Genomic DNA, 14715 nt, shown 5'->3' on the forward strand with positions numbered 1-14715 from the left:
GCAGGAACCTGACATGTCAGCACCACCCTGAGGATGCACACACCTGGCCAGGTTGTGACAGCACCCAAGCTCAGCCACAACTTTGCTCCGAACTGGAGCAGGCACTTCCAGGCCTGCATGGGCAGGGGACTTTCCAGGCCCCCGAGAGCACACAGATGCCTGGATCTGGAGCTGCAGCTGGGTGGCTGCAGCTGCACCCAGGAGCACAAGCTCCTGCCCTGCCAACATGGTAAGGCAGGGTTCCTGCTGGGATCACCTATTGCCGGCCCCTGCCACTTCTGCAGAGCCTGCAACCCCCCAGCCATGCTTCCCTTGCTGCAGCTGGTGTCCTTGCAGCAGCTGCTCAAGGAGGGCCACCACCATCAACAAGTCTGGAGATACCGGTTGGGAAGCTATTAGTATCACTCTAAAAATAGTCATTTCACCCATAGAAATGGATAAGATCATTAAGGGGATCATGTAGAAGATAACAACAGATAGACAATAGCATTTAGGAGCTGGAAGAATTCTAATACTAAAAAATAGTCAAAATGGAAAATAAGAACAGAGAATCAATTCTAGAAACCAAGGAGAAACTTTAAAGCATGCTGGAGAGTGGTAAAGTGAAAGATCACGTCCATTTACAAATATTCAAACAAAACTGTATTTGGCTTTTTCTATATGATAGAAGAACCACAAAATTAATAAAATAAACTACCAACCAACCTCAGTAACATCAAAATTACATGAGAGCTGGCAAGAATTTTAGTTGCCAAATAGCATTTATTTGAGTACAAAATCCTGGCAGGCAAAAGCACTTGCAGACCCGACTCTCTGAGAACTTACAAACAAAAAGTGAAAAGCTCTTAGTTCATTTTGAGTCAGAACAATAAGGAAATTATGAAATCTAAGATGTGCAGGTTTACTTAAAAGTGATAATGGTTTATATTAACTGTGGCCCACACAGGGTCTCTCTAATCTAATGAAAACAGGACAGTCACTGAAAATAAGGACTAATCAATGGCCAAATGTTTCTTCACTATGGGCAAAAATGTGATTTCTTCATCTGGGCTTTAAGAGCTATAAATAAAACACATGGCCGGGTGCATGCCTATAGTCCTAGCTATTTGGGAAGCTAAGGCAGTAGGATTCCTTGACCCCAGGAGTTGGAGGTCAGCCAACTCTAAACAAACACAAACATCATTCTGACAAATGACCTTAATGTAGGATCTCTTTGGACACATCTTCAGCAAGCAGTCATTTAATAAATGCCTTCTGATAGGCAGAATGTAGCTGCTCATGGCTCTTTAAGTATCATATCCAGAATATGAAGGGTTTGGAGAGAAGTTGCATAATGGACTTGCCCCTTTCCTCAATGGGCAGGTAATGTATACAAAAGAACCCATACCCAAATTATAGCATTTTTATTTTCCAATACTATACAAAAAATAGACTGTGCATATCTTAACAGATCCAGATCCAAATTAAATACTTTTTTTCTATTTCAAACTATTCTAAGTTGCTAAGGTGATAATCCAGTTTTGAGCTCTACTCTCTTCCACTGACTACTTGGCTCTCATAAGCATAAGAATTCTTGCCCTATTTCCCACAAACTCCATAAATTGACATTTCTTTTTGTAAGAAGGGGATATTTTCTTCTACACTTGAGTCCTTACATCTGTGAGATTTCATAAGTATCTGAGATTTCACACTCTTGCTATTTTCTTAGTGTCAAACACAAGAGGAACCAGGAACTGTTTCTGGCATTTCTACTAATTACTATGTTTCTCATTCTTTAAATATCTGTGAATTCATAATATTGAATCTGCCACAAAAACCATTTTGAATATTTCTAAATTCATGTTTTTTTCTAAATCCATCCTCACTCTTTTTAATACTTCTTTCAAGGGGCAGAGTACTTTACAGTAGATTACTTTGTTTCTTAGATTAAGTATAGGTAGATGTCTAGAAAAGTGATTCTCCATTATTTTCTTTCACAGCCACCCCCAATACCCACCTTCATCCACTCACCCCACTTGCCACCCCCATTTCTATCACTTTTCCCTTTTTGGGCAGAAAAGAGACTTGAGGGTATTTCACTCATCTAAAGAAATTGCCACTTTACTCCATTTTGCCTTGTTGAAAAGTTAGTAGCAGGGCAGGATGCTCAAGAAACAATGTGATCAAAAGAATATGTTTGAATTTTAAGAAGTAGACTAGTTCATAGAAAAAATAATTTAACACTTGAGTAAGCACAATATTTCTATAGAAAGACAGACTTCTACAGATCCACTCCTCTGAGAAAATGCTTCAACAGCCTGTGCCTTAAAGCCCTTATTTAGAATATGTTAATATGATACCATTAAGCAATAATTTAAGGATGGTTAAAAAAAAATTTTTTTTTTTTAAGCATAGACTCCAGTTGATTCGGTACAACAAGCTGTTTCCAGACCACTGGTCTCATAATAAATATTGAGACCTATACTACTGATAGATGGAATTTATTAAGCTTTTCACATGTGATAGCACATAGTTTTAATTGCATCCAAAGTACTAACAAAAACTCTAGCAATCAAGAATGGCAGCATGTTATTTTATAACAATCAACACCTGTGGCTTTTAAAATTTGGTTTTCATAAGATAATTTATACTGAAGTAAATCTAGCCATGCTTTTAAAAAATGCTTTAGGTCACTCCAAGCTTGGCAGTTAACATTTGGCATAAACAATAATAAAACAATCACAATTTAATAAATAACAAATACAACATTGTAGGCCATAATCATATACAGTATAAGGAAAAGGTGGTAGTGTTGAGTAAGCAGTTATTAGAATAGAATACCTTGGCCTCTATGCAAATATGTCTAGACACTTTGATTCACTCAGCCCTGACATTCAGTTTTCAAAGTAGGAGACAGGTTCTACAGTATCATTTTACAGTTTCCAACACATTGAAAACAAGTAGAAAATGATGAGTTGATTTTTATTAATGCATTACATCCTCAAGAGTTATCACCAACCCCTCAGTATAAAAAATTTTCAAGTTATATTAGTCATATAACTTGGTGTGCTTATTTTAAATAGTGCTAAATGGATTAAGTGAAGACAACAATGGTTCCCCTAATGTGATTGATATTGTCATTTTTACCAGCTTCTAGATCTAAACTTTCAGGCTTTTGAACTGAACATTGATGACAGTGTTCATAGTTCAACCTACTGAACATACAGTGTGCTTGATTCAGAATGTTATTTTGTAGAAATTAAAATTTTAACCTGGTGAAAAATAAGTTGATATAAGTGGTATAATAAACAATACACTGAAATGGTTACTGTCACAAACGGTGCTAAATAATGATATAGGAGGTTCCACTCTCAAGTCACCTAGAAGTTTGATTACATATTGTTACTTACAAAACTATAATAAATTGGATGCACAGCTGTTTACTTCAGTCTGGTGTCTTCAACCAAAATATGTACCTTATACCAAAACAATGCTTATTCCAAAATATTTTTTGTAGCTAGTAGTTCTTTCCTTGGAGGTAAAGAAAATACACCCAAACTTTTAATTACCAGGATTCAGAATATTTAAGAGAACAATTTTAGTTAAGAATCAAATATACAGAGATTCAAAGAGGGGAAAAAAAGGAAATATTATAGAAGACAAAGGTCAAACTGGCATTCCAGATCTGGAGCAATTTTGTAAAGCAGGAAAACAACTATGACAATCTGTAGCTTCTTAGATCATTATAGTGAATGTCCCCATTTACTATAAGTGTTTTTATAATGGTGTTTCCTAAATAAAGGAACATAAATGTACACTAAAGGGTGTTTCCCAAGAATAGAGGTGAAGATATTTTCATTTTGTTTAACCCACAAACTATTTGGTCAAAGGAATATGTAAAGCTAAATAAAAGCACATCTGGTAGAAATTCATGGCAATGCATGTTGACAAGATGTGCTTGGACCTCGCTTGCAGCATCTGGCAGTGGGTAGCAGAACAAAGGTAGGAATCTCACAGGCTCTCCTGTGTCTTTTCTGGAAGAGGCTCCGTGGTGGTGGCACTAGCATTTGCAGCCGAATTCAAGACTTCTCCAAAATCACCACCAGCAGGCTTGGTTCCCCCTACTTTAGACTTAAAAAAAAGTTCAAAAAAGGGAAAGACATTATGAAACATAAAACTAGCTGATTCTGCATAAAGTAACTCTAATTCACTTTCAAGAACAAATACATCAGCAACCTTATAGCTCAGTGATTATTATATATGTATGGAATTTAGTATTGTTGCAATGTTCAGTGTGGTTTTATAGTAAAACTCATGCATTCTCCCTTGCTGAAATATTCAGATTGGTAAATTCTACCCCTTCCCCTTTCCCCCTGCTCCTTGTTCTTCACAGGAAGTCTGTCTAGAAAACTTTGTAAGGTCTATTATTTTAAAGTACCTAGTGAACTGTCTGTCTCTACACTTGCATAACATTTTGTATTGCATCGAATTGCTCATTTAGCTACACTCATTCAAGAAATATTGAATACAACATGGGAAAGAAATATATGTTTTTTTCTCAGTTACAGTATAAGCTTTCTAACCCTTTAATACTTAAAGTGTGGTTCAAGGACCTACAGACTCAACATTACCTGGGAGCTTATTAGAAATGCAGGATCTCAGATATCCTTTCTACCCCACCCAACTCCAGCTACAGAATTGAAATCAACACTTGAACAAAATCCCTGAGTTGTTCATGTGCACATTATAGTTTGTGAAGCACTACTCCAACCTATCTGGCCTGAAATTTTGCCAATAAGCATTTATTTCAATATATCTGCCTTGCATTTGTATAATACTTTTTCAAAACCCTTACACATGTCACTTTATCCTTTTCAATGCTAATCTGTATATGCTCTCTCACTGTTACACTGTCCAACAGGACAGCTAACAGTAAGAAAACAGTCAGTGACCATGGATGCAAGAAGCTTATAGTGGGTTTGAACTTGACCTTGCTCTTAGCTCAATCTTAATTGAGTGGTCACAGACCCCTTATTTTCACTCTCATTCTTTTTGATCTACCATCCAAATTGTTTGGGAAATGCGAATAATGTGTGTTCATTGTTTATTAAATTTATTAAAACACATTCCTTAATTATAGTATCAAATCTCCTTGCAGTTCAACATGTCTAAAACTGAACTCCTTCCCCCGACAACTAGCCCCTTCTCTATTCTTTTTTAACACTTTATATGGCAATAGCACCTACCTAGCTGCCCCAGCCTGACACCTGGGGTTGTCCTGGATTCTTATCCAACTTGTTCTACATCCAATCAATCTTTTTTTTTTTCCGTGTCACTTCTCACTTCTAAATAGCTCTAGACTTGGTCCCATTGCACTAACTTAATTCACTCTCCATCATCTTTGGCTTGGAGTACAACTCCGTCCTTCCATCTAATCTGCCTGTCTCCAATCGTTCTCCCCTTTGATGTGCAGGGCAGCCACTGATCTCTCTAACATTTACAGAAGAATGCACCACTTGGGTTGTTTAAAACCCTTCAATGGCTTCCCATTGCCCCAAGTTCAAACTCTGCAATGTGGCCTACACATCTCTCTAGCTTCACCTCCTGCTCAATATCCTACAGCACAGTGAAGTTCTTGGTGGTCCTCAAAAGGGCCCTCAAACTTCAAACATTCCCTTCAACCTAAAATCCTCAATGGACATTACTGAGTCCTCTAAGAGGTCTTCTCTGACCTTCCCTTCCACCAAGCCAGGTGAACTTTCTGCCACTTGTCCTCATCACACCCTCAGCTTTTCACATCAGAACCCTTACCTCACTTTAGTTTCATTGGCCATTTAATTGTCTAGGCATCTTGCAGAAGGGGTCCATGTCTCTCTTGCTCACTGTGGTAACTCTGGTGCCTAATACTGATTGACTGGCACATGGCAAATGCTCAGTAATCACAGATGAATGAATCAACCCAAAATCTAAATGGACCTCATGTTTAATTAAATATAAATGTAATTTAACAAAATTATATCCCCAGCATGTAATTTTACAGCTTCCTTAGGATACTTGGGGTATCTGTTTAATACGCTATCCTTTTTTTTTTTTTTTTTTTTTTTTTTTGAGACAGGGTCTGGCTCTGTCACCCAGGCTGGAGTGCAGTGGCATAATCGCTGCTCACTCTGCCTCCCGGGCTCAAGCGATCTTCCTACCTCAGCCTCCCGAGTAGGTGGGACTACAGGTGTATGCCAACACATCAGCTAATTTTTCTATCGTTTTTGGTAGAGACAGGGTTTTGCCATGTTTCCCAGGCTGGTCTCAAATTCCTGGACTCAAGTGATCTGCCTGCCTTGGCCTCACAAAGTGCTGGAATTACAGGTGTAAGCCACTGCGCCCAGCCAACATATTGTATGTTTTTAAATTACACTTTTTAATCTGAATGGTGCCTAGTCATATTTTAAAGCAGACTTCATTACAATTTATAGAATCTAAATATATTCAGGAGAGTATATAGTGAATGACCTGGAAGTTTCTCCTCATGTCCAATGTCAAAAACACATAAGATTCCTGGTTTTCCAATTTGCCATTTCAAAAATTAACACTTGGGGCAGATTTCAAGGAAAGGCTATAACAGTCCTAACAATATTGAGAACTGAATTTTAGTAATCCTTGACTTCCTGCAACTACAGTTTGCTTTCAAATATATGACTTGGCACTAAGAAAAATAAAGCAGGTCTCTTGAAATGACATAGAAGAATGACTCTTATATATATTGTTACTCATCAGATGCATATTGAGCAATGTGCCAAGAACTGTTCTAAGCCTTTGAGAAGTATCAGTGACCAAAAAGAACAGGTCCCTGCATTTATGGCTCACAAAGCACCCTGCTAGTGAGGGCTGAATGAATAAGCTGTAGGACTGTGTGTGTACAGTGTAACTCCTCTTCTGAAAAAACATTCATATGTCTGCATACAAACAGAAAAGGTATGTACTAACGTTTGTATGTTCAAGAAAAAAAACGATCCAAACATCACACACCAAGGCGCCTGTCAGGGGGTGGGATGGTAGGGGAGGGATAGCATTAGGAGAAATACCTAATGTAGATGACAGGTTGATGGGTGCAGTAAACCACCGTGGCACGTGTATACCTATGTAACAAGCCTGCACATTCTGCACATGTATCCCAGAACTTAAAAGTATAATAAAAAAATAAATTAAAAAAAGATCCAGATCACTGTAGAGTGTTTTATTTCAATAAATGTACCCTGCTTTTAAAGATGCATTTCGTGACTCAAAGTTCTGAAAGACTAAACTGAATATTAGTTTTTAAACTGACTGATATAAAAACATTTAAGATACTAGTTTTAATCCTTAAAATATATCCCCTATAATTATCAGAGTTAGGAAGTAATGAAAATATGGGTTTTATACAAACTCCGTAGAGAGGGTCGAGGAATAGATGGGAACTAGACAACTTTTGAGGTTGCCTGTGATCCTAAGAGTTGATGATTTTATAGCTTTGAATATAATCTCAAAGATAATATAATTTACAAATCAATAAAGCTCATTATTATGGGGAAATGTTCACCTCCACTAAAATCAAAGAAATCAAAAAATAAAAACAGTGAATCATAAACGATCATCATGGCATCATTATAATAAAAAAAATGTCCAACAATTGAGGACTGAACAAATAATATCCATTATAAGGTAATACAGGCCAGGCATGGTGGCTCACACCTGTAATCCCAGCACTTTGGGAGGCCGAGGCGGGCGGATCACGAGGTCAGGAGATGGAGACCATTCTGGCTGACACAGTGAAACCCCATCTCTACTAAAAATACAAAAAATTAGCCGGGTGTGGTGGCACGCGCCTGTAGTCCCAGCTACTCGGGAGGCTGAGGCAGGAGAATCGCTTGAACCCAGGAAGTGGAGGTTGCAGTGAGCCAAGATCACGCCACTGCACTCCAGCCTGGGCAACAGAGTGAGACTCCATCTCAAAAAAAAAAAAAGTAATATACAAGCAGCCATTGCACATAATATTGAAAGAGAATACTTACTGATACAGGAAAATGATTATGATGTATGGCTACTTCTTTTTTAAAGCGTAACAGCATAATAGCACATACATCTATCACTGTCTGAGTGGTAGGACCAATTTTTTGTTTTCTTTCTTGTGCTTCCTATATTCTTGTTAATTGTTGACAAGAAAGTTATATTAAATTTTGTCCACCTACAAAGGTACTTGAAATGAATAAAGCAAAAAGCAGCACAAATTTCTAAAGTGCCATTTCTTTGTAAATTGTACATTTCCTTTCAGCATGTGGCATGCTGCCACACTACAGCATACACTAAAAAGATATTAAGTACATAACACCTTAAATGTCCACTAGTAACATAAGGAGTAAAGTTATTTACATTCTTTAGATATTTTTAGAAAGAAATATTAATGTCAATGATTTTCGCACAGCAAAGTTAATTAAGACACCAGGCAATGTATCAAAAAGACCCTGTTCATCTCTCTACTTGCCTTTAAGTTTTCGACCTTTTCTTCAAATGATTTAAAAGTTGGGGAGTTTCTATGGAGAGAAAAGAAAAACAAATAGTAAATACAAATACTGAAAAAAAATCCAACTAGTTTGAAAATATAATTGATTCCTCTTCAACATTATTCTCAATCGGCAAAAGAACAGATATAATCTGTACCATATATGTGCAGGTACATACAAGTATTTATAATGTAAGATTCTCAATTTCTGATCTAATATTTTAAGAGTATGCATTTGATTCCATGAACAGGGCCAGTCTCAGACATAAGTAATATAGATATGGTCAAGTACGTGTGTAAGGAGAGGTAACGAAGCCGGGTAAAATAGCAATTCTGTCACTTCCCCAACCAACTTGTCATGGTACAAGAAAATGCCACCATTAGATCAGTTTAATTTTGGTTAAGGTACTACGCTCTAAAATCCCTATTTTGATTCACATCTTCCCTGGCAGAATTTCTACATGAACACACATCACCTAAGTGGGACAAGCTTATGAGGTTCAATATCAGGGAGCAGCATAATAGACTGGGAAAGCAGGGACCAAAAAGAAGGGGGAGAAGCATAGAAACGGCTTTGCCTACTTCACAACTCTGTCCCAAAGGATGAGGAGAGCACGCTGAGCCCACAGGACATTCATTCATCCATGTTACATTCACATCTATCCATATTAATTAAGGAGGATCATAGCGCCTTTGTCTCTCACAAAGGCGCTTTGGAAACAGGGTTTCCAATGCTGTTATCCTATCCAACTGACCTTGAATATCCTTCCTACTACCAAGATGAAAAATGCAAAGAAAGGAAAAGGGGTTTCTTCCTTCCCACGGTGGTGATGGCAGAACAGTTAAGCCAACAGCTCTCAAAGTGTGGGCCCCAGACCAGCTGCTGCTGCAGCTATCAGGAAGTCATAAGCAATGCCAATTTTCAGGTCCCACCCCAACTCTACAGGATCAGAGGCTCTAGAGGTGGGGCCCAGCAAGCAGCGGTTTCACAAGCACTCCAAGTGATTTTGATGGACACTTAAGTTTAAGCCAAGCACAGATTGTTAAAAATCCTCTAACTCTCTAGAGAGGTTAGGTGAGGTAATATCACTTGCAAGTGCTAATGAAAGCAGATAGTAGAATTAAATCATAGTTGGCTCCAAATGTCACAGTGGGATGGGGGAAGTGAAAATGGGAAGGATGAAGAAAAGGAGAATGTAACTAAAGCGAATGCAGACAGAGGTGGCGGGACAAAAGAAGGTTTGTTAACAAGTAGTGCTCACTTTGTGAACAGATTTCAGACAGGAAACAAAGGTTTTACAAAATAAAATAGAAATAATTTTTTTAAAAACAAAATCAAAACATTTAACGGATCTCTTGCACCCATCCCAACATCAGAGGAAGTGTAGCTGAAAACTGATAGAGTGTTAAACACACAGCTTGTTTCAAGGGGAATTCTAGTTCCCTAATTCAGAACAGTTCAAGTTAAACATCTAAATAAAGAAAAATAAAGCATAAGACCAACTACATTTCATAAAAATATACTTTACCTCATAGCAGGCATGCTAATTGAATGCTGAATGGAACGTATACTAAGAGGCAGCATTAAAAAGAGATAGAAATAAGGTTAGTATAGTGGTGCTTCAACATTATTAAAAGCTGACAAAACTTAGCTCCCCAGGAGCTTTATTCTCTTGGCGCCATGAAGAATTACCTACTTTTTGAGGTGGAGGGGATCAAAGTTATTCCAACATAATTTACTTTTATTCAGGAGCCAATTAATTCCCAGGAGTTACTAGAGCTAACAATACCACCTTGCATTTTTACAGCACTTTGAAAACTAAAGTGCTTTCACCCGGAGCTGTAAGGCATATAGGTGTTAAATGAGTTACCGTAGGTCACAGCAGAATCAAGAATAGAACTTGGGTCTAATTCAGTGTTTATCGCCTCCCCTCAAAAATGAAGCATGCACACACACACATACACACATACACACACAAGCAAGGCCAGGGAAGGGCTCTTAGTAAGACAAGGAGGCAACTGCCCACTCAAGGACAATGCAGTTCACTGACCACTCAGGTTCAAGGTTACCTACTCTTAGCCATCTCCCATAAAGACCACCTCATGAGATGAGAGTGCCTTCATTCCTAGGCTCGTAAAATGATTGTATTCTGCTAATATTGTTACTATGCTTATAATAGTTTGACCACTGGCACGACTTTGGTAAATAAACTTTCCTTTGGGTAAAGTGTATAGGTTCAAGGTATTAATTCTCAGTTATATTTAAATATTTTGTGCGCTTATGATTTCCTTTTCTTAAAGACTCATTTGGTACAAATGATAACGTGTCTTCAATGTAGGTCCTCAAATCTAATTTTGCATTAATATCTGATAACATGGAGAATGATTGTGATATATGTCAAATATGCTGGCAATCTGTGTAATCAGGATTATCAATGAAATATTTAAACACCTCTGTACTTGATGTCTTACATAACAGGAAAAGATGCATGTAACTCAGTATTCTCTCTATCCTACAATGGTGGTCAATACCTAGGGTATAAGAGTATAATAATCTATTCTGGGAGGAATTTGATAATTCTTTTCCTACTTTGGATCTATCAAAGTGTGCTGGTCCCAATCTCTAAATTTACAACACCAGAACTCTAAGTATCACCTGTTCTTCCTCAGACCCTTCTGCTGAAGCTGCCTGGAATAGTCACATTGCCACAAACCACCTTCTACCATAACTGATATGATAGGTGGATCAGTGGAGCACCACCCACCACTGCTAACCTCCCAGTGGCCTACAAATTGTTTGGAATGTATGAAAAATGAAGGAGTGAAGACAATTAAGACTCTTATCCTAGCATATTGTAATTAGGACACTAAGCTGCTGGACACTTAGATGTTGAAGAGGATCTGGTGGGACCAGGTGAAAGCTGACAGAACACAGAGGAAACCAGTTCCCAAAGAAAGAATCGAATATAAGCACACAGAGAGGTAGAGCAGATGAGGTCAGGAGAGGTGATCATGCAGGGAATCCAGCAGGATGGAAGAGGAATAGGTTTCTTGGTTTCAATAATAGAAGCTACTTCAATTTCCCAGTTGATGGAGCTGGTTTGGGTGGAGCCTGGCCTTGCTTTCTTTTCTCTCCTTGAATTACAAAAAAACTTTGTATTTGTGCAACACATTCTTCTTTTTAGGTGAGCTAAAAGTTACATAGCTTTCTGTTCCTAATAATCAAAACTCTTCATTAGGACATTCATTTTGGCAGAAATCGCTGAAAAAGAAGGTAATGGCCAAATATGTGATAAATTCCTTGTCCCGGGGACCCACACATTGAATTTGGTAGTATCAACAAAATGTGGAAACAGGTGGATAAGTAAGTGCAAATTTCAGAATTTCACAGCTAATTCTAGTCACTGTCCCTAAGAACCCATGTACAATATCACTTCCTCCAGCAGTGGATCGGTTGGGCTCTATACCACTTTACCTAGCATGTACCTACTAAATATGTTTCAGTGGTAATATATAAGGAAAGGCAAGGAAGTGACTAGACTGTTTATTTTGTGAAAAAAATCACTGAAATGAATTTGGTGTTGAGCACTTTTCTGTATGCATTATATCACACTTGAAGATAAATATACCCATTAAACAGAATAAAATCAGTTAACAGAGTCAAAGTCAAGGTCTCTCTGCTTTTATGGTAGCTATTTTATAGTAGGAAGAAAAGGAGCACACATCAGCTTCAATTCTATCTGGTTGCTGGATCCTCCCCATAATCCATAGTTAGATGAAATTCAATTTTGTTGGTAACTAGTTGTAATCTAACTATAGGGTGGCTGTTCTTTCATTTCTGGCTTCTCTATGGCAAGTTACACAAAGCTTCAACTTGCTCATCATTTTCAGTTTCATTCAAGCTTAAATGTAATATGGAAACCTTCAAAAGTAAAAAGTCATGTTGCTACGGGACCAGAATCATCTCTAATAGATAGGTTGTAAGAATCGGTTACCATCTATAAGGCACATTTTGTTAAAAATGTTGCATCTTATTTGTAACCCCCAAATACATTAATCTGTAATCAAACTAGGAATGCAAACATGGGCTCCTCAAAACACTGAAAAAAAAAATCAGGATAATCTGATTCTCACTAAGTACTTTTCAATCTCACACTGCATTTACTCTTACTTTGAAAAAGTCATTTTTTTAAAACAGCTGAATTGATTTTTAAAAAATATTCCTTGTTTCTAACAGTTATCTGATGCTTTCATGCTCAATAATAATAAGAGAGGAGGGGGTAGAGGGAGGATAAGGAAGGAAGTAGCAGCAGCGGGAGGAGGAGAAGGGAAAGTTAATGGCTAACATGTTGGACTGCTTACTATATACCACGTATGCTTTTCACAGCTATTGATGTACTATTATTCCACTTTGCCCTCACACAATCTTTTGATGTTGGTGATCACAGCAGCTATTGTTCAAAGTGCTGGACAGTGCCTAGAGGGGCACTGTCTTAAACCACCACTGCTCTGGGGAGGCCCAGGAGGACAGTGCAGGCTCCAGGACTAGGTGTGCTCGGTTCCAGTCCTGACCATCAGCCACTTATACCTGCTGTGCAACCTTGGGGAAGTCACTTAATCTCTCTATGGCTCAGTTTCCTCATCTGTAATATCAAAAACAATAGCATCTGCTTCTGAGGTACTATTGTCTCGCTGGGCTTATAAATGTTAATTATTATTATAACACATGCTTTAATTGAAACATGAATTAGCATCTACTGTATATTATACTTTCACATATGCATAGAAAATATGCAAACAGGAGGGGAAATATAAGCATATCACGTTGAAGCTTTCAAATTTCACATTGAAGCTTTCAAATTTCAGCATTATTTTGGTTTTTAGCTCCACCCCTATAGTCTACAGCAATGCCTGGCACATAGTTAGCACTCAATAAATACTTTTGAGTGAAAGAATGAATGAATAAATGAATAAACAATTTTGATAACTAAAATTGGGAATATGGGCATGAAACAGAGAAAAGTTCATTAAAGTGTTTCAAATTCTAATCAAAAGATATTCTTTTTCTGACACGAGGAAAGAGATCATTTCTTTTCCCATTAAGTGGTGGAAGTTTTCAGCAAAAGGGAATTGTCTAGCAGGACTTTAATGAGCCCAAACCAAATAAATATCTACAGGGGCACATGAAGAAACACACATTTAAAAAGGAGAAATTTTCTTTGGAAATAAAGGCAAAATTAATTAGCACTTCCTCTTAAATATACCAAAAATATGAGACAAATGTGTCTACTGAATATTATAGTATGCTTTTAATAACACTAAAATTTTATGTTTAACCCTGGCACTGACTGCAATGAGAAGGTTCTTTTAAAGTTTCCCTCAAAATGCTAAAGGCATGAGTCAATACTTTCACATAGGCATAGAACATATGCAAACAGAGGGGAAATATAAGCATATCACCTGAGGGAAAAGCAGGCTGCCCCAGAGGGCCTCCCAGGACAGCACTCATGACCACGTCCTCCTTGGCCTTGCTACCACCACACCTCATTCTCAGGACATCAAGAGCAGCTCTCTCTCTCTCTTCTCTATTTCCTTATACATCTCCCTCCCCTCAATCAAGGCATAAGGCAAATATCTAAATCCCAAGTGCTGATTTATCAACTGACTATGTAAAATAAAAACTGTTGCTGAGTCTAACACATTCAGGTTGGCAAAACTGCTGCATTTTCTCCTTCTATATCCATAATTACATTAAGGAGTAAAATCACCGGCATAAGTTTGCCAGGTAAAATGGACCTAGAACAAACAGTGAGTGGGATTAAGGACTAACCACCTACTTCATAGCACTTAGCAAAAGGAGCCTACTGTATCCACCTCCATGGGAGAAAAGGACTTATTGCTGGAATTGTAACACTCAAATCTACAGCCTAAGCTCCCTTTCCTTGGGTAGTTCTTGAGGGAACGTGGCCAATATTTGCCTCTGTGACTCACATAATCTAAAAGATGTAGGTTTTCTTTATATGTGTCAACACATTAAATCAGAACACAATCAGGACTTCTTGGCCTTGAAATTATTTTTTTAAATGCCTTTACCTAACCTGTGATTTGCAAGAATTACAAAGTTTAACTTTCAAAAGATAATCTCATTTCTTTCATTTCCAAATTTTAATCAAAAACCTTACTTTAACCCCTACATACTGATG

At 37.8% G+C, this 14715-nt stretch overlaps 2 protein-coding genes across 17 annotated transcripts in view, besides 1 other annotated feature; both read right to left on the reverse strand.

The window, feature by feature from the left end:
* Positions 1-14715, reverse strand: part of TPD52-MRPS28 (TPD52-MRPS28 readthrough) — a 252848-nt gene that overhangs the window by 115409 nt on the left and 122724 nt on the right. The window contains exon 5 of the mRNA NM_001387778.1: positions 8495-8543. Coding sequence (NP_001374707.1) covers positions 8495-8543 — 49 coding nt within the window. The remainder of the gene's footprint in view (positions 1-8494; positions 8544-14715) is intronic.
* Positions 1-14715, reverse strand: part of TPD52 (tumor protein D52) — a 140483-nt gene that overhangs the window by 3044 nt on the left and 122724 nt on the right. For 8 of the 16 annotated variants that reach the window (NR_105034.2, NR_170693.1, NR_170694.1 and 5 more), the window contains 2 exons: positions 8495-8543; positions 620-4110 (listed from right to left, as the gene is read on the reverse strand). Coding sequence is in view for 9 of the 16 variants with exons in the window: in NM_005079.4 (NP_005070.1) it covers positions 3991-4110; positions 8495-8543 (169 nt within the window). In the remaining 7 variants the exon portion in view is untranslated. Of the gene's footprint in view, positions 1-619; positions 4111-8494; positions 8544-10041; positions 10084-14715 lie in introns of those variants that run through there. The other 8 variants (NR_105036.2, NR_105033.2, NM_001025253.3 and 5 more) reach the window with 3 other exon arrangements.
* Positions 2872-2921: an enhancer, noted in NCBI's record as "active region_27553". NCBI's record gives its function as "activates an Ori minimal core promoter by ATAC-STARR-seq in GM12878 lymphoblastoid cells {active_cell/tissue: GM12878}" and the evidence as "EXISTENCE:reporter gene assay evidence [ECO:0000049][PMID:35858748]".

Source organism: Homo sapiens, chromosome 8 (assembly GCF_000001405.40).
Source record: "Homo sapiens chromosome 8, GRCh38.p14 Primary Assembly".
NCBI lineage: Eukaryota > Metazoa > Chordata > Mammalia > Primates > Hominidae > Homo > Homo sapiens.